Genomic DNA, 26,576 nt, shown 5'->3' with positions numbered 1-26,576 from the left:
GCCTCCCGGGTTTAAGTGATTCTTCTCCCTCAACCTCCCAAGTAGCTGAAGTAGCTGGGATTACAAGCATCTGCCATCACACTCAGCTAATTTTGTATTTTTAGTAGAGATGGGGTTTCAGAGTGTTGTTCAGTCTGGTCTCAATCTCCTGACCTCGTGATCCACCCGCCTCAGCCTCCCAAAGTGTTAGGATTACAGGCATGAGCCACCATGCTGGGCTCGGTTTTAACACTGACTAGGAGACACTAGACTAGATTGTTTATCTCCTTTCTGCTCTGACCTTCCCTGGTCTTAAAGGGCAAAGCAAAATTGGCCTGAAAACATATGGGAAAGGCCTAATCGCTGACCCCTGTCCACCCCAACCCGATGCTATCCCATTGGCGAGGGCGTCCATCCTTCCTTGGCGTTTCTAGCACCTTCTCCTTCGCCTATTGGATAGTAACTTCTGGGGCCTGAATCCCTTAAACGCAAATTTGGGCCTGCACAGAGCCCTGCCTTACCCATAGCTGGCCCTTAATTAATGTTCTTTGCATGGGTGGGGTTGGAACTGCTTTGAATAAGGAAGAAGAATAAGGAAATGACTAGAGCAGAAGCAATAAAGAAATACTTTTGATAGATTTTAACTAAATAAATATTAAAAACCAGTGTGTCCCCAAACCCAGTAAACAATGGTCATTATGTGGCATCTGTGCCCTCCCTCTATCTATGGTAGACATATCTGAAAAAAAAAATGTCTTTTAAAATGAAATGTGGCCAGGTACAGCGGCTCACACTTGTAATACCAGCACTTTGGGAGGCTGAGGTAGGAGGATTGCTTGAGGCCAGGAGTTTGAGACCAGCCTGGGCATCATAGCAAGCCCTTGTCTCTACAAAAAATTATAAAAATTAGCCAGGTAGGGTGGCACATGCCTATGGTCCCAGCTACGCAGGAGGCTTAAGCAGGAGGATCACTTGAGCCCAGGTCAAAGCTGCAGTTAGCTATGATCACACCACTGCACTCCAGCCTGGGTGACAGAGAGACCCTGTCTCAAAAATAAATAAATAGATAAAAAATAGGCCAGGCATGGTGGCTCACATCTGTAATCCCAGCACTTTGGGAGGCTGAGGCAGGCAGGATTACCCGAGGTCAGGAGTTCAAGTCAAGCCTGGCCAACATGGTGAAACCCTGTCTCTATTAAAAATACAAAATTTAGCTGGGTATCATGATGCACATCTGTAGTTCCAGCTACTGGGGAGGCTGAGGCAGGAGAATCACTTGAACCTGGGAGGTGGAGATTGCAGTGAGCCGAGATCGCGCCATTGCACTCCAGCCTGGGATACAGAGAAAGACTCTGTCTCAAAAATAAAATAAAAAGGCTGAGAGTGGTGGCTCAGGTCTGTAATTCCAGCACTTTGGGAGGCAGAGGCAGGTAGACTGCCTGAGGTTAGGAGTTCGAGACAAGCCTGGCCAACATGGTGAAATCTTGTCTGTATTTAAAATATAAAAATTAGCCGGGTACAGTGGCAGGCACCTGTAATACCAGCTACTTGGGAGGCTGAGGCAGGAGAATCACTTGAACCCAGGAGGTGGAGGTTGCAGTGAGCTGAGGTTGCACCAGTGCATTCAAGCCTGTTTGACAGAGTGAGAGTCCATCTCAAAAATAAATAAATAAATAAATAATAATAATTAAAAAATAAAAATAAAAAATAAAGAGAAAAGTATACCAAAGGGTTAATAGCTTTAATATATAAAGAACTTTTACAAGTCAATAAAAACTTATCACCTCAAATGGAAATAAAAGGTAGACAAAGGCCAGGAAGAGAAAGCACAGATGCAAATACTCAGTGCCCAGCTCCAGGCCCCGCCCCATGCATGATGTGCTTCCCCAGTGCACTCAATGGGCACCATATGTATACACTGACATTTGACCTAATACAATCATGTCAGTCTTTTTTGTTTACCTCTCCTCCATGCCAGTAGACAGTACATCAGAGGAGGGGTGAGAAGATGTAAGTTGGCTCTGCCACTTGCTAAATATTTGACCATGGGCAAGCCCCTTTACATCTCAGAACTAGTTTAGTCACCCAAAAAATAGAGCCAAAATACCTGCCCTAGTCAGGCGTGGTGGCTCACACCTGTAATCCCATTGGGAGGCTGAGGAGGGAAGGTTGCTTGAGCCCAGGAGTTCGAGACCAGTCTGAACAACATAGTGAGACCCCATCTCTCCAACAAATTTAAAAATTTAGCTGGGTGTGGTGGTACATGCCTGTAGTCCCACCTACTCAGGAGGCTGAGGCGGGAGGACTGCTTGAGCCCAGGAGGTAGAGGCTGCAGTGAGCTATGATGGCACCACTGTCCTCCAGCCTGGGTGACAGAGTGAGACCCTGTTTCTAAAATATAATAATAAGTAGGAAAAGTCAATTAAAATCACCCATAATCCTATCTAGGGATACCCACTCTCACCTGGATGCTGCATAGTCTTTCAGATTTTTTTCTCAGGCAAATCATTACCTATACTGGTTAGAATGGCTGCCTCGTATCACATGACTTTTATCTTTTTTTTTTTTTTTTTTGAGAGGGAATCTTGCTCTGTACCCCAGGCTGGAGTGCAGTGACTCGATCTTGGCTCACGGCAATCTCCGCCTCCCGGGTTCAAGCGATTCTCCTGCCTCAGCCTCCTGAGTAGCTGGGATTACAGGTGTGTGCCACCAGGCCAGCTTTTCTTTTTTTGTATTTTTAGTAGAGATGGGGTTTCACCATGTTGGTCAGGCTGGTCTTGAACTCCTGACCTCATGATCTGCCCTCCTTGGCCTCCCAAAGTGCTAAGATTACATGCGTGAGCCACCATGCCCGGCCCTAATTTTTGTATTTTCAGTAGAGACAGAGTTTCACCATGTTGGCAAGCCTGGTCTTGAACCCCTGACCTGAAGTGATCTGCCCGCCTTGGCCTCCCAAAGTACTGGGATTACAGGCATGAGCCACCGCGCCCAGCCATACCACATGCTTTATGTGCCAGGCACCGCAAGGGTTACAGTCAGCATCTCGTTTACCCTTCATGGGACAACCCCAGGATACAGGTGCTATAATTACTCCCAGTTTACAATATGAAGAAACTGAGGCCAGGGAGGTAAAATAAGTTGCCCATGGTTGCTGGACTGGTCATGGGGCAGCCAAGACTGGAACCCAGGCCTGTGCTGATACCGAGGACAAGCGCCCACCTGCAGCCCAGGTTCCTACCAGCTCCTCCTGGGTGACAGCTGCAGTACCTGTCCGGGCTGAGGTTCTGGCCAGAGTCAAAAGCTCGCGCCACTAGGATCATGGACTGCCTGTCGCCAGCTTCAGCGGCCTTTAGTAAGTAATCAAATCCTTTGGTTTTGTTCTCTTCTGTCTCCTGTTGATACAAACCAAAGAGGGAGAAAGAAGAGTGAATGAGGCTTACACTCGAGGGCTGCCAAGATCTCACTACTCAATCTTCACCCTGTTTTTTGAGAGCTCCGGGTTGGGAGGCTATAGAAGTGAGATAGGAGGGGGCACTTGACTCCAGAGGCTTGGCTCAGACACTGGAACAAATCAAGGACAAGCTAAAACAGGGATGGGGTGGGAAAACAGCTTTTCATAAGACACGCCCACCTGTGCAACATGTCAGTTTACCATTGTCAGGGCAACACTTGAGAGTTACTGCCTGTTTCTATGGCTATGGCCCCACAACCTAGAAGTTACTACCCTTTCCCTAGACATGTCTTCATAAACCGCCTCTTAATATGCATGCAATTAAAAGTAGGTATAAATCTGACTGCAGAACTGCCCTAAGCTGCTAATCTCAGCACACTGCCTGTGGGGCAGCCCTATTCCGTAGAAGCAGTCATGGAGCTGTACCACTGCCTAAGCTATAACACTGACACTTCAATAAAGCTGTTTTCTTCTACATTTGGCTCACCCTTGAATTCTTTTCTGGGTGAAGCAAAAAACCCTCCTGGGCTAAGCTCCAATGTGGGGCCTGCCTGCCCTGCATCAGAAGTACACATCATAAGTACACATCACAGCTGGGCTGGGTGGCTCATGCCTGTAATCCCAGCACTCTGGGAGGTCAAGGCGGGTGGATCATCTGAGGTCAGCAGTTCGAGGTCAGCAGTTCGAGACCAGCCTGGCCAACATGGTGAAACCCCGTCTCTACTAAAAATACAAAAATTAACCAGGCGTGGTGATGCATACCTGTAATTTCAGCTACTCAGGAGGCTGAGGCACAAGAATTGCTTGAATCTAGGAAGCGGAGGTTGCAGTGAACCGAGATCAAGCCACTGCACTGCAACCTGGGTGACAGAGACACCGTCTCAAAAAAAAAAAAAAAGTACACATCCGTAGTTTTTAGTATATTCACAGAACAGTATGGCCATCACCAGTCAATTTCAGAATACTTTCACCAATCCAGAAAGAAATCTCATACCGCTTAACTGTCAATCTCCCTCTACCCCTACTCTCCTCATCCTGCTCAGCACTAGGCTTCCATTAGTCTACTTTCTGTCTCTATGGATTGCCTATTCTGGATCTGGACATTTCATAATAATATAGTCATACAATATGTGGTCCTTTGCGACTCTTTTCACTTAGCACAGTGCTTTCACGGTCCATCTGTGTTGTAGCGCATATCAATATTTCATTCCTTTTTATGATCAAATAATAGTCCATTGTATGGCTGTATCACATTTCGTTTATCCATTCATCCACTGACAGACATTTGGGTTGTTTTCCATTTTTTGGCTATTATGAATAATGCTGCTATGAAGATTTGTGTACAAGTTTTTGTGTGAAAGTGTGTTTTTATTCTTTTGGGTTTATGGCTATGAGTGAAACTGCTGGGTCACATATAACTTACCTGGTAGAAAGCAGACAATGCTGCAAATCAGGGTTTGATGTACTGTTTTTTCTATTGTAAGAAAGGCGTGGAAAACATGAACACTGCAGATGAAACTAACAAGCGGGTCATGCCTGTAGCTATTCTATTGTGACGAGTACAGCAAATTGAAGAAATATCCTTCCAGTATTTAAAACTACCATCTGATTCAGGAAGGAGGTCGCTCACATCAGAGGCAAATGAAGTTCCAGTTCTAACATAGGTCTTTGTTAATTTCACTTTCATCTCACTTATGTCAGAACTACACTTCTCCATCAATTGCAACCATAGGTTGGCTATGGGTGTAAGAGTTTGCAAAAATCAGTGCAAGTATTGTGTGAGAGTTGATGATATGAAATTTACTTTTCATTGTTATTTGTAAACCATATACCACATATTATTTTTTCTTGTTTTTTTTTTTGAGACAGGGTCTTGATCTTTTGCCCAGGCTGGAGTGCAGTGGCTCCATCATAGCTCACGGAAGCCTCAAACTCCTGTAGTGTATGGTTTTTATCCTCCCGCCTCACTCTCCCAAGTAGCTGGGACTACAGGCAGGTGCACCACACCAGGCTAATTTGTTTTTTTGGGGGTGGGGGGTTTGTAGAGATGGAGTTTTGCTATGTTGCCCAGGCTGGTCTGAAACTCCTGGACTCAAGCAATCCTCCTGCCTTGGCCTCCAAAAGTGCTGGGGTTACAGGTGTGAGCCACCATGCCCAGCCTACTTATTCTTTAAATTAGCAAAATTTAATATATTTACATATATGTGGGCACACATTTCCTTCCCACCTCCAAGAGTCAATTGTCAAATGTTCCCCAGCACACCACTGGCTGAATGAGCATAGAGATTCCAGAGAAAGGCCGGGTGTGGTGGCTCACCTCTGTAATCCCAGCACTTTGGGAGGCCGAGGTGGGCAGATCACCTGAGGTCAGTAGTTCGAGACCAGCCTGGCCCACATGGTGAAATCCCTTCTCTACTAAAAATACAAAAATTAGCCAGGCGTGGTGGTGCACATCTGTAATCCCAGCTACTTGGGTGGCTGAGGCAGGAGAATCGTTTGAACCTGGGAGGCGGAGGTTGCAGTGAGCCAAGATCATGCCACTGCACTCCAGCCTGGGCAGCAGAGCGAGAGCCTGTCTCAAAAAAAAAAAAAAAAGAAAAACAAAATATGTATATATATATACACACACACACATATATACACACATATATATAGAGAGAGAGATTATAGAGAGAGACAAAAAAGTGAAAAATCCTCTCTTCCAACCAAACCTCCTCCTCACCATCTAAGTTTTTGTCTCACCATCATGAAACAAAAACTGGTGGGCGACGCCCTGCCCACATGTCAAATGATGTAATCTGACTGAACCATAAGAAACTGCCAATATTCTACCATTTATGACCTTCCAAAATAGCAGTTTCATGAGGTTCCACCCATTATGCAGGAGGCCAGTCACTACAGCAATTTTTGTGATATCAAAAGAATACAGCCAACCCAAGTGTCCATCAATAGCTCACAGGTATGCCCCACACATATAACAGAACATTATGCAGCTGTCAAAAAGAATCGGGGAGCTGGCTGGGCATGGTGGCTTATACCTGTAATCCAGCACTTTGGGAGGCTGAGGAAGGCAGATCACTTGAGGTCAAAAATTTGAGAACAACATGACGAAACCCCATCTGCACTAAACATACAAAAATTAGGCTGGGCATGGTGGCTCATACCTGTAATCCTAGCATTTTGGGAGGCTGAGGTGGGTGGATCACATGAGGTCAGGAGTTCGAGACCAGCCTGGCCAACATGGTAAAACCCTGTCTCAACTAAAAAAAAAAATACAAAAATTAGCCAGGCGTGGTGGCAGGTGCCTGTAAAACCAGCTACTCGGGGAGCCAAGGCAGGAGAATTGCTTGAACCAAGGAAGCAGAGGTTGCAGTGAGGTGAGACCATGCCATCACACTCCAGCCTGGAGGACAAGAGCAAGACTTCATCTCAAAAAAAAAAAAGTAGCCGGGTTTGGTGGCAGGCACCTGTAATCCCAGCTACTCAGGAGGCTTAGGCAGGAGAATTGCTTGAACCGGGTGGTGGAGGTTGCAGTGAGCTGAGATTGTACCATTGCACTCCAGCCTGGGTGACAGAGCGAGATTCTGTCTCAAATTAAAAAAAAAAAAAAAGAATCAGGAAGCTATCTCTATACCACTGAGGTAAAATGTCCACAGGACACTGTCAAGTGAAAAACACTAGGTTCAGGAGTGTGTGTGTAGGATGCTAACTTTGGAGGAAAAAGCAGGGTGAAAATAGGAGCCTATTTCATATTTGTATATGGAAACCGTGTACTGGGCCGAACAATATCCTCCCAATATTCACGTCCATGCAGAATGTGATCTGATTTGGAAATAGGGTCCTTGAAGATATAATTAGTTATACTGGCTGGGCACTGTGGCTTATGCCTGTAATCCCAGCATTTTGAGAGGCCGAGGTGGGTGAATCACCTGAGGCCAAGAGTTCAAGACCAGCCTGGCCAACATGGTGAAACCCCATCTCCACTAAAAATACAAAAATTAGCCAGGTGTGGTGGCAGGCACCTGTATTCCCAGCTACTCAGGAGACTGAGGCAGGAGAATTGCTTGAACCTGGGAGGTGGAGGTTGCAGTGAGCTGAGATCCTGCCAGTGCACTCCAGCCTGGATGACAGAGCAAGACTGAAAAAAAAAAAATAGTTATATTAAGATGAGGTCACACTGGATGTTAGGTGGGCCCTAAATCCTATATGACTGCTGTCTTTACAAGAGCAGAAGAAACAGGGAGATAGGGACACGAGGGAAAGATGGAGACAGAGATTTCAGTGAGCCAAGCCAAGAACGCTGAAGATTGCCAGCAACCCCCAGAAGCCCGAAGAAACAAGGAAGGATTCTCCCCTCAAGCCTTCAGAGGAAGGCATGGCTCTACTGACACCTTGATTTCTGGACTTCTAGCTTCCAAAACTGTGAGAGAACAAATTTCTGTTGTTATAAGCCAACTGGTTTGTGGAATTTCTTAAGGAAGTCCTAGGAAGTGAATACACTCTGGAATTACATATAAGTAACTAATAATGATGGCTACCTATTATTCAAAGAATGAGAGGATGTGGGGAAGGTGGAAGGCAGATTTTTCACTGTAAAGCTTTTTTTTTTTGAGATGGAGTCTTGCTCTGTTGCCCAGGCTGGAGTGCAGTGGCGTGATCTCTGCTCACTGCAACCTCCGTCTCCCAGGTTCAAGTGATTCTCCTGCCTCAGCCTCCCAAGTAGCTGGGATTACAGGCGCATGCCACCACACCTGGCTAATTTGTTATATTTTTGGTAGAGATAGGGTTTTGCTATGTTGGGCAGGCTAGTTGTGAACTCCTAACCTGAGGTGATCCACCCGCCTCCATCTCCCAAAGTGCTGGGATTACAGGTGTGAGCCACTGCACCCATCGTTAAGCTTTTTATATTTAAAAATTAAAAAAAAAAACTTCTTTGGTCGGGCATGGTGGCTCAGGCCTATAGTCCGAGCTACTCAGGAGGCTGAGGCAGGAGGATCGCTTGAACCCAGGAGGTCAAGGCTACAGTGAGCTACAGTCATGCCACTGCACTCCAACTTGGGTGACAGAGTGAGAACCTGTCTCTAAAATAAATAAATAGTCCGGCATGGTGGCTCACACCTGTAATCCCAGCACTTTGGGAGGCTGAGGTGGGCAGATCACCTGAGGTCAGGAGTTCCAGACCAGTCTGGCCAACATGGTGAAGCTCTGTCTCTACTAAAAATTAGCTGGGTGCGGTGGCAGGCACCTGTAATCCCAGCTACTCGGGAGTCTGAGGCAGGAGAATTGCTTGAACCTGGGAAGTGGAGGTTGCATTGAGCCGAGATCGCACCACTACACTCCAGCCTGGGCAACAAAGCGAGACTCTGTCTCAAAAAAAACAAAAACAAAACAATAAATAAATAAGTTTTTAATCACATGAATGTAATTACCAATTCAAAAAGCTAAATAAATAAAGGACTTTGGAGTATCTTCCCACCCTCGAGTCTGAGATCCATTCACCCACTGGGCCACAGCCAAACCAACCCGTCAAGGAGAGCTGATGTCCTGCACCCACAATGAGCCTAGGCCACCTGTCCATGCGCAACGTTGGCCCACGTGATGGGGAGGATGGGAACAGATGGGAGGATGTGCCCGCCAAGGGCTTCTCAACTTCTCCTGGGAAAAGATCACTTTGCCTGGGCCTTGCCAGATCCCATTCAATCCTTTCCTCCCTCTGCTCACGGACCAGGGACAGAAGCAGCAGCAGGCTCCTACGCAATTTCCCTGCAGGTCCACACCCTGCTGCTTCAGCTCCAGCTCTGCCTCAGCTCCTGCACCTCTAGCTACACGGGTGCACCTTGTCTCTCACCTCTGGGCCTAAGCACATGCTGTTCCTTCTACCTGAGCTGCTCACCTCCCCCACTTGGCCTGGCTCACTCCCTTTGGGCCTTCAGGTCGAAAGCAGATATCCCCCCCAATTTTTTTTTTTTTTGGAGACAGGATCTCACTCTGTCGCCCAGGCTAGAGTGCAGTAGTGTGATCTCAGCTCACTATAACCTCTGTCTCCCAGGTTCAAGAGATTCTCCCACCTCAGCCTCCCGAGTAGGTGGGATTACAGGTGTGTGCCACCACGTCCGGCTAACTTTTGTATTTTTCTGGTAGAGGCGGGGTTTCACCATGTCGGCCAGGCTGGTCTCGATCTCCTGGCCTCATGTGATCCACCCGCCTCAACCTCCCAAAGTGCTGAGATTACAGGTTTAAGCCACCACTCTGGCCTGAGGTAGGTATCCCTTCATCTGTTCATTCTACGAATCTCTACCAAGCATCTACTCAGTGCCAGGCCCCAGCCACTAGGGATACACACAGAACTGATGAGCAGGAAGCCTGAACCAACCCCTCCAGGCCCCAGTTACAGCCCTTCCTCACATGTTTCCACTGGTGTCTTCTGCTTCCCCCATCACACCATGTCGTTATTACCTGGAAACGTGACTTACCTTCCCCTCCCTCTCCAAAGACAGAGATCGATTCTGCCAGTTTCAACTAACTTGGAGGGGCCTGCCCCCAAACCAGTGCCTGGGACATTTTTGTGGCATGCATAAACCTCAGGATAGAAGGCAGGTGAATGCATGACTTCCAGGATGGGAGGCAGGTGAACCACAGGGTGACCAAGTCCCACCCCCACCTGCAGCTGGGTCCCCGCCACCTGCTCACCTTCAGAGAGACATCGGCTAGGATGTGATGAGGCAACTGCGAGTACATGAGTCCCAGGCCCACGATGGCCTCCAGCTCGCCCAGGTTGGCTGCGTGCTCCAGGTGGAAGACAGCCGACTCCTGGTCCCACTCCTCGCCCTTCTCGCAGAAGCGCCCACCCTCGTGGTAGCGCACCATGGCCAGATGGACCTGCCACACAGACTACGGTGTCGGCCTGGCTGTCTGGCGGGCCAAAGCCGCACCCAAGACCGCCCAGCCAGCCTGCGGGAGGAAGTGATTAGCGGAGGAGAGGCTGGAGCTGGGGGGCTCCAGGTTAGTGCAGACAGGGCTCCAAAATGGGCATCGCCGATACCTTCCCCAAAATGGACTTCCCGATTTTCTTTTCGAGGTCCAGAGCATTAAGCCTTTGCACTTCCAGGGCCACGGCCGAAGCCCTCGGCAGGTGGAGGCGGGAGGAGTTGAGGAGATTCCACTTCTCTACACATACCTGAAGGGAAAGAACCGGCCAGGGAAGCGAGGGGCTGGGGGTGGACGCAGCATCACAGCTGTCAGCAGCCCCTACTACACAGGAGCCTGGCTGGAGGGAGATGGGGAGTGAACCCTCACGATGTCAAAGTTTATTGGCAAAACATGGCTCCAATTTTTTTTTTTTTTTGAGACAGAGTCTCACTCTATTGCCCAGGTTGGAGTGCAATGGCACAATCTCGGCTCACTGCAACCTCCACCTCCCAGGTTCAAGCGATTCTTCTGCCTCAGCTTCCCGAGTAGCTGGGACGACAGGTGCATACCACCATGCCCGGCTAATACAGCTCCAATTTTAATCATTCAAATTCCATCAACTCATGCATTCAAGAGCCAGTGGAACAGATTTCAGCAGCTCAAGGAAGCGCTTCCCCATCATTTACCAATCTGGATTTGGTTGGGGGTGGGGGTCTCACTCTAAACCAACCCCTTCGCCAGCTCCCCATATAAGGCACCAGAAGACTCCCACTTCAGACCTTCCAGCAAATCCCCTTGCTTTCCTCTGCAAGGCACCACAACGACATGAGCAACATCAGCAGGTTGCTGTAGGAAATGGGTTTAAAAAACACATCATTTCTCCTGGCCAAAGATGCCCCCTCCAAAGGCTCTTGCAGGATACAGCCAGGCAGCTGTGCGTGTGCACGTTTGCATGCTAAACATCTTGCAATGCACAGGGTAGCCCCCTCAACAAGGAACGATTCAGCCCAGAATGCCAGTAGTGCCTTGCTTGAGCAACCCTGTTCCATACCTAACTGAGAAGATCCTAATCTGGCTACAAAATACCACAGGGTAAATAATCAGTGTTCTGGGAGATGCCAGAGTCATGCCTGTGGTGGAGGCCAGGGAAGGCTCCTGGACGAGGGGCCCTGGGATCCAGGCTTGGAGAGCAGGTAGGATTTGAAGAGAGATGACAGAGGGAGAGAAAGGACTTTGCAGGTAGGAAAGAGACTTGCCTTAGTAAAGGCTCCAAAGATGGGCAGTTCAAAGCGTGTGAGGGAATCACTTAGAGGGGTGGGTGGGGCACAGAGCTGGTCTTTCCCAGACTTGCTGATGCTTGTTAGACATACAAGCGAGGGTAACCTGGGGAAAGTTGCTTAAGAGCCCAGTTTTCTCATACATAAAATGGGGATGAGAGTCACATTAGCCTGTCTCTCTGGGTGGTTGCAAGAAGGAAACTGATTACTGCGAAGTGCCTTCATGGCAGGCACTTAAGACAGGAGCTGTCCCTGTGGTGATTTCCCCTCCAGGATGGGGCTGAGCTGCTCTTCTCTAATCCTCCCCACAAATCCCCCAGCATCCTGCCCTGCAGAGGTTCAAAGAGCATTTGCCCAGATTTGCTGCTTTGCAAAATCTTCCTTTAGCACATGTGCAAGACAGATGGGCAGGCAGCAGAGATATGAGACAGGAGAAACAGCAACAGAGCCTGGAGGAGACAGGGAAGAGGCAGAGACAAGGGTGCCTCAGGGCGCATTACCCGTCCAGAGCTGCCCAGGCTGTCTTCGTCAGACTCGTACTTCCGATTACTGTATGAGTGGCCCTGAACGGAGGAAGAAATTACACTGATCCAAAGCGACAAGCTTCTTCCCAGGAACCTCTCCTGAGAGCTGGTCCAGCCCTCCTCCCTGGAACCAGCCTGGCCCTCCTAGGTGACCCTTATCTCAGAAAATTGGCCCTATGTTCCCAGGTGACACTGGAACCCTTCTCTGCCAAGCAGAAGGGATGCTGGGTCACAGGCAGGGATGACAACGCTGGTGCAGTCACAGCCTTGCTGTCCCCCTCCGTGTGTGAGCAGGTGGAACTGACTTGATGGTGCAGGATCCCAACACAAAGCCACTGGGGTAACGGGCAGAGCTCCTACTGCATGTTTAGTTTATATTTTAATTTAGACATGGGTCTTGCTCTGTTGCCCAGGCTGGAGTGCAGCAGTGTGATCAAAGCTCACTGCTGCCTCCAACTCCCCAGGTTCAAGCAATCCTCTCACATTGCCCTCCTAAAGTGCTGGAATTGCAGGTGAGCCACCAGGCCCAGCTGTTTTACTTTTTTTTTTTTTTTTTTTTTTTTTTTTGAGACAGTCTCACTCTGTGGTCCAGGCTGGAGTGCAGCGGCATGACCTTGGCTCACTGCAACCTCCACCTCCCAGGCTCAAGTGATTCTCATGCCTCGGCTTCCTGAGTAGCTGGGACTAGAGGAGTGCACCACTGCACCCGGCTAATTTTTGTATTTTGAGTTGAGATGGGGTCACCACGTTGGCCAGGCTGGTCTTGAACTTCTGGCCTCAAGTGATCTGCCTGCCCCGGCCTCCCAAAGTGCTGGGATTACAGGCATAAGCCACCACGCCCGGCCAGCATGTTCTTTATTCACAATCATAAAGCTGAGATCAGAGGTGTCCTGGCAAGACTGGCCTTGATGTGCAGGCTCCATTTCAGCACAGGGTAAGACCTCTAAATGGCAGATACTGTCTGAGGTTGCCCTCACCAGGATGCTGCTGGGAGGCTACCCAAGGAAACTGACCTCCAAGGCCCTCCTCCCTGGGGCCTCACAGGATCCTGCCTATGAGTGGGTCCAGCTATTACCCAGGATCCTCTCTGCTCAGCAGCCCAGGACTCCCACTTCACCATAAGATTTGTCAGCCATTATCAGCCTTATATCTAAGCCTCCACACTTGCCCCGTTACTGGTCCACATGATCCTGTTTTATCTTCTTTGCATTTATCTTTATCTGAAATACTCTTTATTTTATTTTATTTTGAGACAAAGTTCACTGTGTCACCCAGGCTGGAGTGCAGTGGCACAATCTTGGCTCACTGCAACCTCTGTCTTCTGGGTTAAAGTGATTCTCCTGCCTCAGCTTCCCCAGTAGCTGGGATTACAGGCATGCACCACCATGCCAGGCTAATTTTTGTATTGTTAGTAGAGACGGGGTTTCACCATGTTGGCCAGGCTGGTCTCGAACTCCTGATGTCAGGTGATCCACCCGCCTTGGCCTCCCAAAGTGCTGGGATTACAGGCGTGAGCCACCATGACCGGCCTGAAATACTCTTTATTAATTTACTTGTTATCTTCTCAGGACCCACTCATATTCCCCCTCCAGGAAGGGGAGTTTTCATTTTCCTGGAGGATAAACAAGGCAACAGGTGACACCGGTCTCATTTCCTGGGGGTTCCTTACATGTTCTCGGGGCTCAGGGTCATCCAGCTCACCCCGCTTCTCACTGGGGTATCCGCTGTCCCCACTATTCTCAGACTCCTGTGGAGAGAAGACGGCCTTAGGGTCCTGGTGGTCCCCTGAGCACCTGGAAATGGTTATGACATCTCAACACCCCAACTGTTAGCTTTCTCCCCTCTGTCCCATTACCTAACACCCTGCTCCTGCTGTCCCTTGCCGGGTGTGGTGGCTCATGCCTGTAATCCCAGCACTTTGGGAGGCCGAGGCAGGCAGATCACTTGAGGACACAAGTTCAAGACCTGCCTGGCCAACGAGGGAGCAGTATAAGGTAACAGTAAGGACCTTGGGCTCTACAGCCAAATGACCTGGGCTCAAATCCTGGCTTTATTTCTTGCCAGCTGAGACCTTGGGCAGTTGCTTAACTTCTCTGAGCATCAGTGTCCTTAGTTATGGGATTCATTATAGCCCCTACATCGAAGGGCTGTGTGGGTGAAATGCACTGTTACATTCTGAGAGTGTGGATCACAGGAAGTGCTTTACTGAGAGTGACTCACCCACTTCACAGGCAGAAAAACAAAGGCTGGTTAAGGGCTATGACCCACGGACAAAAATATAGCATTGGGAACAATATTTAATACAAATAAGCCCTCAACCAAAACCACACATTTTTATTTTTTTTTTGAGATGGAGTCTCGCTCTGTCACACTGGCTGGAGTGCAGTGGCACGATCTCAGCTCACTGCAACCTCTACCTCTTGAGCTGAAGTGATTGTCCTGTCTTAACCTCCCAAGTAGCTGGGACTACAGGCGCCTGCCACCACGCCTGGCTAATTTTTGTATTTTTAGTAGAGACGAGGTTTCACCATATTGGCCAGGCTGGTCTCAAACTCCTGAACTTGTGATCCGCCTGCCTTGGACTCCCAAAGTGTTGGGATTACAGGCGTGAGCCACCGTGCCTGGCCTAGTTGGGCATATTTTTTATTCTCCCAGGTCTGAGTTCTGTTCTGAAAGCGAATCTGGTATAATTTAGAATCTCTAAAACTTCAGCCATGTACCTACCAACATTGAATTATAGCTCTCTCTGCATGTCACCTGCACAATTAGTAACGGAATAGTTTTATTTCCTTCTTTATTCTTCTAAGAAGTATCTTTTCTGTGTGTGTGTGTGTGTGTGTGTGTGTGTGTGTGTGGCAGGGTCTCACGTTGTCACCCAGGCTGTAGTGCAGTGGCGTGATCTCAGCTCACTGCAACCTCCACCTCCCAGGTTCAAGCAATTCTCTTGCCTCAGCCTCCTAAGTAGCTGGAATTACAGGCACATGCCACCATGCCTGGCTAATTTTTATATTTTTTGTAGGGATGAGGTTTCATCATGTTGGCCAGACTGGTCTTAAACTCCTGGCCTCAAGTGGTCTGCCTGCCTCAGCCTCCCATAGTGCTGGGATTACAGGTGTGAGCCACCACACCCCGCCTCTACTAAGAAGTATTTCTTTTTTTTTTTTTTTGAGACTGAGTCTCGCTCTGTCGCCCAGGTTGGAGTGCAGTGGTGCGACCTCTGCTCACTGCAACCTCCGCCTCCTGGGTTCAAGAAATTCTCGTGCCTCAGCCTCCTGAGTAGCTGGGATTACAGGAAACTGCCACCATACTCGGCTAATTTTTGTATTTTTAGTAGACATGGGGTTTTGGCATGTTGGTCAGGCTGGTCTTCAAATTCCTGACCTCAAGTGATCTGCCCCCCTTGGCCTGCCAAAGTGCTGGGATTACAGGCGTGAGCCACTGCGCCCAGCCTCTACTAAAAGGTATTTGTTTTTTCTTTTTTTTTGAGACAAGATCTCGCTGTCACCCAGGCTGGAGTGCAGTGGTGTGATGATGGCTTACTGCAGCCTCTGCCTCCCAGGCTCAAGAGATCCTCCTACCTCAGCCTCCTGAGTAGCTGGGACTACAGGTATGTGCCACCATGCCTGGCTAACTTTTGTATTTTTTTGTAGAGATGGGGGTCTTGTCATATTGCCCAGGCTAGTTTCAAATTCTTGGGCTCAAGTGATCTGCCCACCTTGGTCTCCCAAAGTGCTGGGATTATAGGCATGAGCTACCATGCCTGGCCAATTTTACTAAGAAATATTTCAAACACACACACAAGCATAGAGAGTATTATAATTTGCCATAATATACATTTGTGAGAATGCAGATAAGATGCCTTCAGTTTCTTACCACCAAGTCAACCCAAAGCTTCAGGAAATGTTCTGTTTATCTAACTGGAGAGCTAGGTGTGAAGAGCTAGAACACATGGCTTACTGTGCTATGTGTTACACATCTAAGACCCAGTATTAGGGCTCTATAGGACAACCAACACATGTGGGGTCAAACCAAACCTGGAGCTGAGACTGGCATTTACTACAAGATCGCATTGTTGCTGACTGGGAGTCCCTCTTCCCTAACCATCTCTGGGAACTGCAAGGGACCCACCTTTTCTCAGAGGAAAGCTCAGCCTTGGACTGGAGGCTGACATTCATCTGCATCCTCCCTAATTCCCCCATTCTGTGCCCTCCTGGCAGTGCCTGGGCTAGGCTGCCCACCTCCGAAGCTGAAGATTCACTCTGGGAGTGAATCCACTCCTACCCCTGCTGGGGTCTGAAGCCTGCAGCCTCCCTCCCTTCACACTCACCCGGTGGTTGTCTAGATGATCATGGTCTCTGGATGCCATGTTATCGAGGTCACTGAACACTGGCCAATCTGGGCAGGGAGAAACAGACATCATGTCCTGGTTCCACTACTGGAACATGCATAAGACCAACCCACGGCCTAGGGCGGTCCATACCTGCCACCAAGCCTTTTTTTTTTTTTAAGCTTTAAAGAAAGGCACAAAAAAGGAGAAGAATGTTATCAGCACCTGGAGGCTAAAGTTCTTCCTTGAGAACTTATTCTAAGTCTGCTGTTTGCCAGCTACATGATTCTGGCCAAGTGGTGTCACCTATGTGTGTCCTCAGGGTTGTCACAATGCAATTATCCTTGTAATGTGTTTATTAGCATATGTGCCTGGCCACCACTTGGTCCTCAATAAAATGCAGTTGTGAAGGAAGAACAGACGTTTATACATTTGGGGCTCAAGAAGTGGGCCTCAGATAGCTTCAAAACCATCTTCAGCTGGGCACGGTGTCTTATGCCTGTAATCCCAGAACTATGGGAGGCCGAGGCAGGTGGATCACCTGAGGTCAGGAGTTCAAGACCAATCTGGCCAACATAGTGAAACCCCATCTCTATTAAAAATACAAAAATTAGCTGGGTATGGTGGCATGCACCTGTAATCCCAGCTACTTGGGAGGCTGAGGCAGGAGAATCGCTTGAACCCAGGAGGTAGAGATTGCAATGAGCCAAGATCACGCCACCGCATTCCAGCCGGGGTGACAGAGAGAGAGATTCCGTCTCAAAACAAAACAAACAAAAAAAAAACACCAACCATCTCCTGGTGGTTCCCTATCTCTGTCTCCTGCCCTCTACAGCCAAATCTATCTGTCTGTTTTTATAGTTTGTAAGAACAGTGTTTACATTTTTAAATGGATGACAAAAATTAAATTTCACCATCCATAGAGTTTTATTGGAACACAGCCACATCCACTCACTTAATATTTTCTATGGTAGCTTTCATGCTCCAAATGCAGAGACTGAATGACCTGCAAAGCTTAAAATATTTACTCTCTGACCTTTTAAAAAAGTCTGTTGACTCCTGTTCCAGACTATTCCAAAGACCTTCCAGTGGAAACATCTAAAGGGCTTCTTTAATGTTTGACACTAAAATCTTTCTCTCTTTCAAAGGTATCAAAATGAGAAAAATTAAAAAACTAAACAATAAAATCTTGCTCTCCTGCTCTGAGCCTGCTCCCGCTCACACTTTCCCTGAATACATGACCTCCAGCTCTTTAGGCCAATACCCTGGGGTCAGTCTTGCCTCTATCCTTTCCTACAGACTCTCATCTGAATCATCAGCAAACTCCACTCTTTCAGTGTCAGAAATAATGATTCTGTTTTTCTCCTTTGACCCATTAATATCACATTCATAGCTTTTCTAACATTGAACAACCCTCAGATTCCTGTGAAATCCCTATTTAACTGTGACAGGTGAACCTTTTAACATAGTACTATTTTTATTTGTTAATATCTATTTAGATTTTTTTTTTGTTCTCTATACACAAATACAAATTTTAAATAAGGTTGGGATATAATTTTCTTTTTTAGTTTGTCAAATTTATTATATAGGTTTTGCTGGTTTCATAAAACACACTGATAAAAGTTACTTTGTTTCCTACAATAGGGGTTGTTTTTATAGCATTTGGATGATCTGTTTTGAAAGTTCACTCAATGAAACTCACCTATAAAACCACTGGGGCCATGAACCTTTTCGATTAGCATGTCTGATTTTTCTAACATAAATGAAAGCTGGTTTAGCTCTGCTCCACCTGTCCCCTCCAATCACAGTGACTAGGGACCGAACCGTCACTCACGGAGGTGGTCTAGCTTCTGGCTGTGTGGTGTGGCCGAAGATGGGGAAGAAGGGAGAGAGTCGAAGGTCACGTCGCTCATGTTCTCGTCTCCAGAGTTCTCTGAAAGGGGACGGAGCAGGGGTGGCCGGCTCCCAGAGAGGGTCCTTACTTGGGGGCTCCCACATTTTTCCTCTGTTCCTCTCAAGATGGTCTTGGCTGATTGCTAGGGACATTAATAGGGATACTCATGTCACGCACACACCCTCTGGGAATTAAAGGGCTCTTCCTGTTGTTCCCTCTAACCCTGAAACCCCTTCATCCACAGCTCCTAAACATGCCTGTTTAGGAGCTGATATATTGTCTTAAAAAATAAAAAATCAGTCAGGGATTAAACCTAAGGCCTCCAAGAAAGGGCATCTGGAACAGAGGCTCAGAGGACCTGCCAGTATCCCCTAAAGCACTGACCACATTCCACAGCCCAGAGCTGGAGAAAGCATTCCACTCTATGTCCAGCATCCCAAGCTGGTCTTTGCAACATTCTCTTGTCCCTGGTCCAAGTAGCAATGGGAGGATGGGAGGTATGTTGGTGAGGTGCCTGGAGAGCCAGGTCTAAGACTAGTTCAGTCATTTGTCAATACATCACACAAACACACACACACACCACATGCCTTCTCACTATCTCCACGTGCCTGTTCCCCTCACTCTGGTAAAAAATGGGCCCAACCTAAGCAGATACCAGCTGCTCGATTGGAAGGACGCTCAGGAGGGCTTTGTGCACTGAGCTGGAGGGGACGGGCTGGGGCATGGATGGGACAGATGCTTCCAGCCCTGGTATTCATCAGTTAAGCACTGCTTGACCTGGCTGTCACCACACAGGGGAGCAGGGCTTGCTTTGCAAGTAGCAGAAGGGCCTGCCAGGCCAAGCAGGGTCACACTGGGCACCCACCAGCAGCTTGGTGTTCTGATTCACTGCATCCCTCTCCCGGGGCGAGAGGTCAAAGGGAGCAAGGCCCATGCTCTCGCAAATCCGGTTGCAGGCATGAGAGTAGAAGAAGAGCGCCATCCCGCGGACACCTGTGGACAGAGCGGGGGTGTCTGGAGTGTTGCTTTGCTCTGTGACGGGGGACAGGCAGTGGTGGGCCTCATACATATGGCCAGGGCAGGTATAAAACGTGCCAAGCTGGGAGGCATCAGACATCCAGGCTCCCATCTCCATGATCTTGAAAAAGCGCGTACAGTGTCTCAGCCTGTTTCCTTGGCTGTACGAAGAACTCAGAGGTTTTAGCAGGGAGCGTGGTTTCTGCAGAAACAGGCTGGCTTTCCCCACGTACCTAGGTTGCCGTCTCCAAAGTCAGTGCCCGTCTCCGTGTGGATCTGTGGGTCAGTGTAGAGATCCCCAACTCCCTGGATGTCCACCACTATCAGCTGATGGCCGGAACGCTCAAAAGTGAAGTGGCTGAAGGCCTACAGGGGACAGGAAGGAAAACGAGATGTCAAGAGACAGGCTGAGGTCTGTGCAGGCACTGGCCACGCCTCTGCCCATGCTGAGGGGCTTTCTCTTCAAGGAGTTATATAGAGGAAAAGACAAAGGAAAAAGGCCTCTTCAGTTGGGCAGGGACCTTGGGCTGCAGGTCCTGTGGCCACCTTAGGTGACAGAAGCTGTCATGGGGTGACGGGTCTCCTTCTGAATGCTCCAAGAGGCTTCTCTGGGGGTGAGACTCCAAGCCCACAGGGACCTTCCTCTTTAGGGGCTGAGCCTGGCCAGGATCTCACCCCAAGGGCTGTGGTGGGCAGAGGGTGGAGGTGAGCTCGGCCTCACCTGCGGCGTCAGGCGGATGTTGTCATCGCGGACAAAGCCAGAGTTGGAGTTGTACTTGATGTACTTGCCCTCGATGTAGTGCTCCAGGTGGAAGAGGGGCTTGCCCGGTCTGTCCTTCAGCTCGATGATGCACATCTGCATGATGTCCACCTGGTGGGATGGGGAGTGGGCTCAGGCGGGAGGGCCCAGGCGCACCTCCTCTGAGAAGCGGCAAGGGGAGGGCTCAGAGGAACTCGCCTGCCTGGGCTCAGACCCTGGCTCCATGACTTACTAGCTCTCTATTGTAGGAGCTCCTGATGATGCCCAGAATCTAATCTCCTCTTTTCCTTTAATTTTTTTAAAATTAAAAAAAATATATTTTTAGGCTGGGCACGGTGGCTTACATCTGTAATCCCAGCACTTTGGGAGGCTGAGGCAGGTGAATCAGTTGAGGTTAGGAGTTCGAGACCAGCCTGGCCAACATGGTGAAATCCTGCCTCTACTAAAAATACAAAAATTAAGGCTGGGCATGGTGGCTCACACCTGTAATCCCAGCCCTTTGGGAGGCCAAGGTGTGTGGATCACCTGAGGCCAGGAGTTGGAGACCAACCGTGGCCAACATGGTGAAACCCTGTCTCTACCAAAAATACAAAATTAGCCAGGCATGGTGGCACATGCCTGTAATCCCAGCTACTCTGGAGGCTGAGGCAGGAGAATCACTTGAACCTGGGAGGCAGAGGTTGCAGTGAGCCAAGATTGCACCACTGCACTCCAGCCCTGAGCAACAAGAGCAAAACTCCGTCTCAAAAAAAAAATTAATAAAATAAAAATACAAAAATTAGCTGGGCGTGCTTGTGCGTACCAAAAATCCCAGCTACTCAGGGTGTCGAGGCAGGAGTATCACTTTAACCCAGGAGGCAGAGGTTGCAGTGAGCCAAGATCATGTCACTGCACTCCAGCCTGGATGACAGAGTGAGACTCCGTCTTAAAAAAAAAAAAATTTATTTTAGAGACAGGGTCTCACTCTGTCGCCCAGGCTGGAGTGCAGTGTCATAATCATGGCTCATTACAGCCTCATACTTCTGGGCTCAAGTGATCCTCCCACCTCAGCCTCCCGAGAAGCTAGGACTACAGGCGTGTGTCACTACACATGGCTCATATCTAAATTTTTTTATAGAGACGAGGTCTCACTATGTTGCCTAGGCTGGTCTTGAACTGGCCTCAAGAACTGGCCTCAAGCAATCCTCTTGTCTTCCAGCATCCTCCCAGAGCATTAGGATGACAAGCTGCAGCCACTGTGCTCAGCTCTGTTTTCCTTTGAGTTTTAAAAGGGTACACAGCCACCCACTAGGGATGACATTGCTAAGCTTCCCTTGCAGCTAAGTGTGGCCACATGACTGTGCCCAGCCAATGGGAAGTGAGCATTGCAATGATGTAACTCCAGCCTGCCCTGTAAGGTGGACTCTGCTTGGGAGCCAGAATTGATTATGTGGTCCATGGCAAACCCCTGAGGGGATGGCAGAGAAAAAAGACCAAAGGAACGAGTTCTCTAGATGGCTTCAAGGAGATGAGGCACAAACAAGCCTACCCCAAGCCACCCACCAATGCAAGACCTCCACACAAGTGAAAAAGAAACCATTTCGTGTCCACACATATTTTGTGGGTCTGTTTGCTAAGCAACTTAGACTATGCCTTACAGTAAAACTGTGAATTTGGGAACATTTCTGAATTTCACCTCTCTGTGCCTCAGTTTCTTTACCTGCATAAAGAGGGTCTCAGGCTCAGTCTGTGAATTAAACTTATTGATGCAAAAAGGAGCCAGGCAATGTTTGCTTTCATTTTATTTTATATTTTATTGCCCAGGCTGTTGCCCAGGCTGGACTGCAGTGGCACGATCTTGGCTCACTGCAACCTCTGCCTCCCAGGTTCAAGCAATTCCTCTGCCTCAGCCTCTTGAGTAGCTGGGACTACAGGCACCCGCCTCCATGCCTGCCTAATTTTTGTATTTTTAGTAGAGATGGGTTTTACCATGTTGGCCAGGCTGGTCTTGAACTCCTGACCTCAAGTGATCCGCCCCCCCACCCCGGGCTTTCCAAAGTGCTGAGATTACAAGCATGAGCCACTGTGCCTGGCAACTCATTTTTATCAGGAGCTACAATTCTAGAGAAATATAAACCAACCTCTAAACAGCAGTTTTCTCCCTGCAATGGGAAATTATAGGGAACTTTGACATTCCTTGCCGAATTTTTTTTGTTTTTATAAAGTCTATGTTTAATTTTGTACACAGAAGAAAATGTATAAATAGTGCATATGGTTTGTAAAGTGGAGTAGGGGAGATTAGGGACTCTAGCTTGCACCTCTTGCCCTGTTACACAAGGACTCATCCTTGGTTCCCATGTCCTCCTCAATGCCACCTCCTGGGAGGATTAGGTCCAGGTTTCCCAAGGAAACGACCATCCATGGAGAGTGGGTCACCAGACATGCAGACAACAGATGCAGAGGCCGAAGGGGTCCTGATCTGAGAGGTGAGAACTTGCCCCAAACAAGGCTTCAATGGGTTCTGAGAACCGGCCTGAGGGGAAGGCAGGGAGCGGCGGTTCTCAGAGGGTTCTGCCCAAAGGCTGGTCCCATCCCTACAAGGAAACTTACAGCAGGGCCACCTGCTGGGCCAGAGGGCTCCCTGGGCGAGGGGCAGTGGTACAGCCACAGTGGACAACCAGCACCTTCTCAAACAACCACGTCTCTCTCCCTCCCTTAAGTCAACCACATTATTATTATTATTATTATTATTGTTACTACTACTACTACTACTACTATTTGGGGATGGAGTCTTGCTCTGTCACCCAGGCCGGAGTGCAGTAGCCCAATCTCGGCTCACTGCAGCCTCCGCCTCTCGTGTTCAAGTGATTCTCCTGCCTCAGCCTCCCAAGTAGCTGGGATTACAGGCGTGCACCACCATGCCCAGCTAATTTTGTATTTTTAGTAGAGGCGGGGGTTTCACCATGTTGGCCAGGCTGGTCTCGAACTCCTGACCTCAGGTGATCCGCCCACTTCAGCCTCCCAAAGTGCTGGGATTACAGGCATGAGCCACTGTGCCAGGCCTACCACAGTATTATTTACTGGACACCTAGGCACTAGGAGACAGCAGTGAACATGATAAAATAAAATCTCTGCCTTTAGGGGAGAGAAGCACCTAAAATATTAACTAAATGAATGACATACTAACTGCTCCAAAGAACAGGAAAAAAAAAAAAAGTTAGAATGATGTGACAGAGGTGACTGGGGCAGAGGGACCACTTCTTAGGGTTGTCTGAGATGGGCTGGCTGAGGAGGTGACACAGGATCTGAGACCTGAACTATAAGAAGTAGCTAGCCATGCAAGAATTACGGTGACACAAGATGCCCGCCAAGCCCACAGCCAGGGCCAAGGTTTTGGGGCAGGAACAAGCTTGTGGAGGAAGAGAAAGGAGGCCAGGCTGGAAGGCCGCAAATTGCAGAGGAAGCCACAGCCCCCCAGGGTGGGGACTGTGGCTTCTTGCGCCTGCCTCAAGTATGCTTCATCAAGGGCTCTGCAAACAGCAGGTGCTCAATAAATTCTGCACACCCAGGAGACTGTGCGTTGTATGTAGTAGATGCTCAAGCTGTGGAAGATCTCAGCTGTGGGCTCATGCAGGGCAGAGGCATGGATCCTTCCTCAAATGCCGAAAGGCAACAGGGAATTCTGCTTGGCCTCAGTCACTCATCACCCTAGGGGCTCAAATGAAGGTGCCAACCTAGCAGGGGGTTGAAAAGCCTGCATTTGAGACCTGGCTACAGCTCTGCCTGGTTGGGGAAGTCATTTAGCCTCTTTGAGCCCAGGGTTTCCCAAAGAGCAGACATAGTATCCACTATGATATGGTTTGGCTGTGTCCCCACTCAAAGCTCATCTTGAATTGTAGCTCCCATAATTCCCACGTGTTGTGGGAGGGACCTGGTAGGAGATAATTGAATCATGGGGGTGGTTTCCCCCATACTGTTCTCATGATAGTGAATAAGTCTCACGAGATCTGATGGTTTTATAAGGGGAAACCCCCTTTGCTTGGTCCTCAATCTCTCTTGTCTGCCACCAGGTAAGATGTGCCTTTTGCCTTCTGCCATGATTGTGAGGCCTCCCCAGCCACATGGAACTATCTGTCCATTAAACCTCTTTTTCTTTTATAAATTACCCAGTCTTGGGTATGTCTTTATCAGAAGTGTGAAAACGGACTAATATACATTCCCAGCTCTTTCTTCCGCTTTTTCTTGGGAATCTCACCTTTTCCAGTCTCAGTCCCTGTGGTCTGGGTGGAACACCTACATTCCTAGCTCTAAGGGCAGGCACATGGCTAGGGTGTGCCCAATCTGCATATTCCTGCCCCTTGGCCACTGTGATTGGCTCGGCAATAGGGATCTGACTTAATCAGAGCCAATGAAACGCAGCTCTGGGACTTTTATTGGAACTTCTGGGGAAATAGGTTTTGTCATTCCAACAAGAACTTGGGCCTGCTGGGGGCCAGAGTGCTACCACTAGTGCAGAGGCTGCCTGAGAATGACGCCAACCCAGAAGAACACCCAGGCCAGAGATGGAGGAAGATTCTGACAACCTCAGTTTAATCCTGCATCCAGCCGTGCCTGTGGCAGCATTATTTTTCAGTTACATAAGGCAATGAATTCCCTTTTCGGATTAAGCAGTTTGAGTGGGTTTCTGTCATTTGCAAACAAAAATCCTGACTAATAGATCCCATCTGTAATTGAGGATAAAAACATTCCGACCTCAGAGCTCTGTTTTTAGGAATAAATGACTCTGGAACAAGTGCAATGGCTCACGCCTGTAATCCCAGCCCTTTGGGAGGCCGAGGTGGATGGATTGCTTGAGGCCAGGAGTTTGAAACCAGCCTGGGCAACATGGCAAAACCCTTTCTCTACAGAAAATACAAAAATTAGCTAGGCATGGTGGCATACCCCTGTAGTCCCAGCTACTCAGGAGGCCAAGCTGGGAGGATTGTTCAAGCCCAGGAGGTTGAGGCTGCAGTGAGCTGTAATTATGCCACTGCACTCTGGCCTGGGCAACCAAGAAAGATCCTGTCTCAAAAAAAATAAAAATAAAATAAATGACTTGGTTCATCATGCTCAGTAAACAGTGGTTGTTATTAGCTACTATTAAGAAGGTGAAAGAGGCCAGGTATGGTGGCTCACACCTGTAATCCCAGCACTTTGGGAGGCCAAGGCAGGCAGATCACTTGAGGTCAGGAGTTCGAGACCAGCCTGGCCAACATGGTGAAACCACATCTCTACTAAAAATACAAAAATTAGCCAGATGTGGTGGCAGGCACCTGTATGTAATCCCAGCTACTGGGGTGGCTGAGGCAGGAGAATCGCTTGAACCTGGGAGATGGAGGTTGCAGTGAGCCAAGATCATGCCACTGCACTCCAGCCTTGGTGGTGGGTGACAGAGCAAGACTTCATCTCAAAAAAAAAAAAAAAGAAGGTGAAATAGGGATTCACCATGGCCCTCTTTCCCAGACACTGTGCCCAGCTGCCCTGGCATGGAAAGGGGGCAGGTAGTGGGGCCACGCACCTGCTTGGGGGGCTTGTGCCGATTATACTCCTCCCCCCAGAGCTTGGCCTCCATCTGTAGACGCACGTCCTCAAAGTACACATCCCGGTCTACGGGCTCGATGTAGCGCTTCGCCACGTAGTTGGAGGCGCCCTTCCACTGCTGGGCATGCAAGAAGTTGGAGAGCTTCTTCCTGTGGGAAGAGGCAACAGGGGGCCTACCTGGGTACTCTGGGGTTCACCAGGGACACAGCCCTGGTCCTCAGGACAGCAAGACCCTGTCTGATGTGGCTGGGTGGCTGGCAGCAGGAACAAAATGCAGGAGGTAAGAAGGACGTCCCCACCCCTCTGCATCCTTCAAAGAGCTGGGACAGGGGGATTAAAGGTCACTGTTAAAGGTCTCCTATCCCATTTCCCTTGACCTCCCAACACCAGGGCAGAGGTAAGTGGGGTGTTCCCTGTTCTTCCTGAGCCCATCGTCACAGCCAGGCCCAATGTGTGGCCCGAGGGAGACTAGATGGACAGGAACCTGGGCTACAAGAAGGCAGAGGCCCCTGGCTCCATTCCTTGGCTGAAAATGTCCCAATGCCTCAGCTCTTAGGAGCCTGGGGGGACTCTGGGCAGGGCCCCAAGAGCCAGGCTGAGTCACTTACGTCCGGAAGCACTCCCTCATTGCTCCTCGGCCGAAGGGCTGAAAGACACCACACAGAGTGTTATCAGTCCCCATGCCCCACCCAAAAGGGACCCTAAGACAGGAGGTGCTCCCCTTACATGCCACCTATCAAATGGGTGCCCTGGGCCTCATCTCAATCCTGAAATCCCTGGGGATCTCCCTTCTATGTCTCAGCACCAAAGCCATAGAGGCCTTCCAACCCAGAGGCTGCCAGGATGACAAGGAACCCCCATTCCTCCACCCCAGCTGAG

The 26,576-nt window shown here is 49.0% G+C and overlaps 1 protein-coding gene across 1 annotated transcript in view; it reads right to left on the bottom strand.

Moving 5' to 3' along the window:
- Positions 1-26,576, bottom strand: part of EEF2K (eukaryotic elongation factor 2 kinase) — an 82,461-nt gene that overhangs the window by 11,742 nt on the left and 44,143 nt on the right. Inside the window, exons 5-16 of the mRNA NM_013302.5 lie at positions 26,306-26,343; positions 25,675-25,846; positions 20,100-20,249; positions 19,612-19,744; positions 19,227-19,354; positions 18,302-18,503; positions 16,468-16,535; positions 13,810-13,887; positions 12,117-12,179; positions 10,473-10,607; positions 10,121-10,309; positions 3,247-3,371 (exon numbers count right to left, since the gene is read on the bottom strand). Of these exons, the coding sequence (NP_037434.2) occupies positions 3,247-3,371; positions 10,121-10,309; positions 10,473-10,607; positions 12,117-12,179; positions 13,810-13,887; positions 16,468-16,535; positions 18,302-18,503; positions 19,227-19,354; positions 19,612-19,744; positions 20,100-20,249; positions 25,675-25,846; positions 26,306-26,343 (1,481 nt within the window). The remainder of the gene's footprint in view (positions 1-3,246; positions 3,372-10,120; positions 10,310-10,472; positions 10,608-12,116; positions 12,180-13,809; positions 13,888-16,467; positions 16,536-18,301; positions 18,504-19,226; positions 19,355-19,611; positions 19,745-20,099; positions 20,250-25,674; positions 25,847-26,305; positions 26,344-26,576) is intronic.

The sequence above is a fragment of the Homo sapiens genome, chromosome 16 (assembly GCF_000001405.40).
Source record: "Homo sapiens chromosome 16, GRCh38.p14 Primary Assembly".
Classification (NCBI taxonomy): Eukaryota; Metazoa; Chordata; class Mammalia; order Primates; family Hominidae; genus Homo; species Homo sapiens.
The sequence above is the reverse complement of the archived record's forward strand: the minus strand, read 5'-3'. Positions and strand labels throughout refer to the sequence as shown.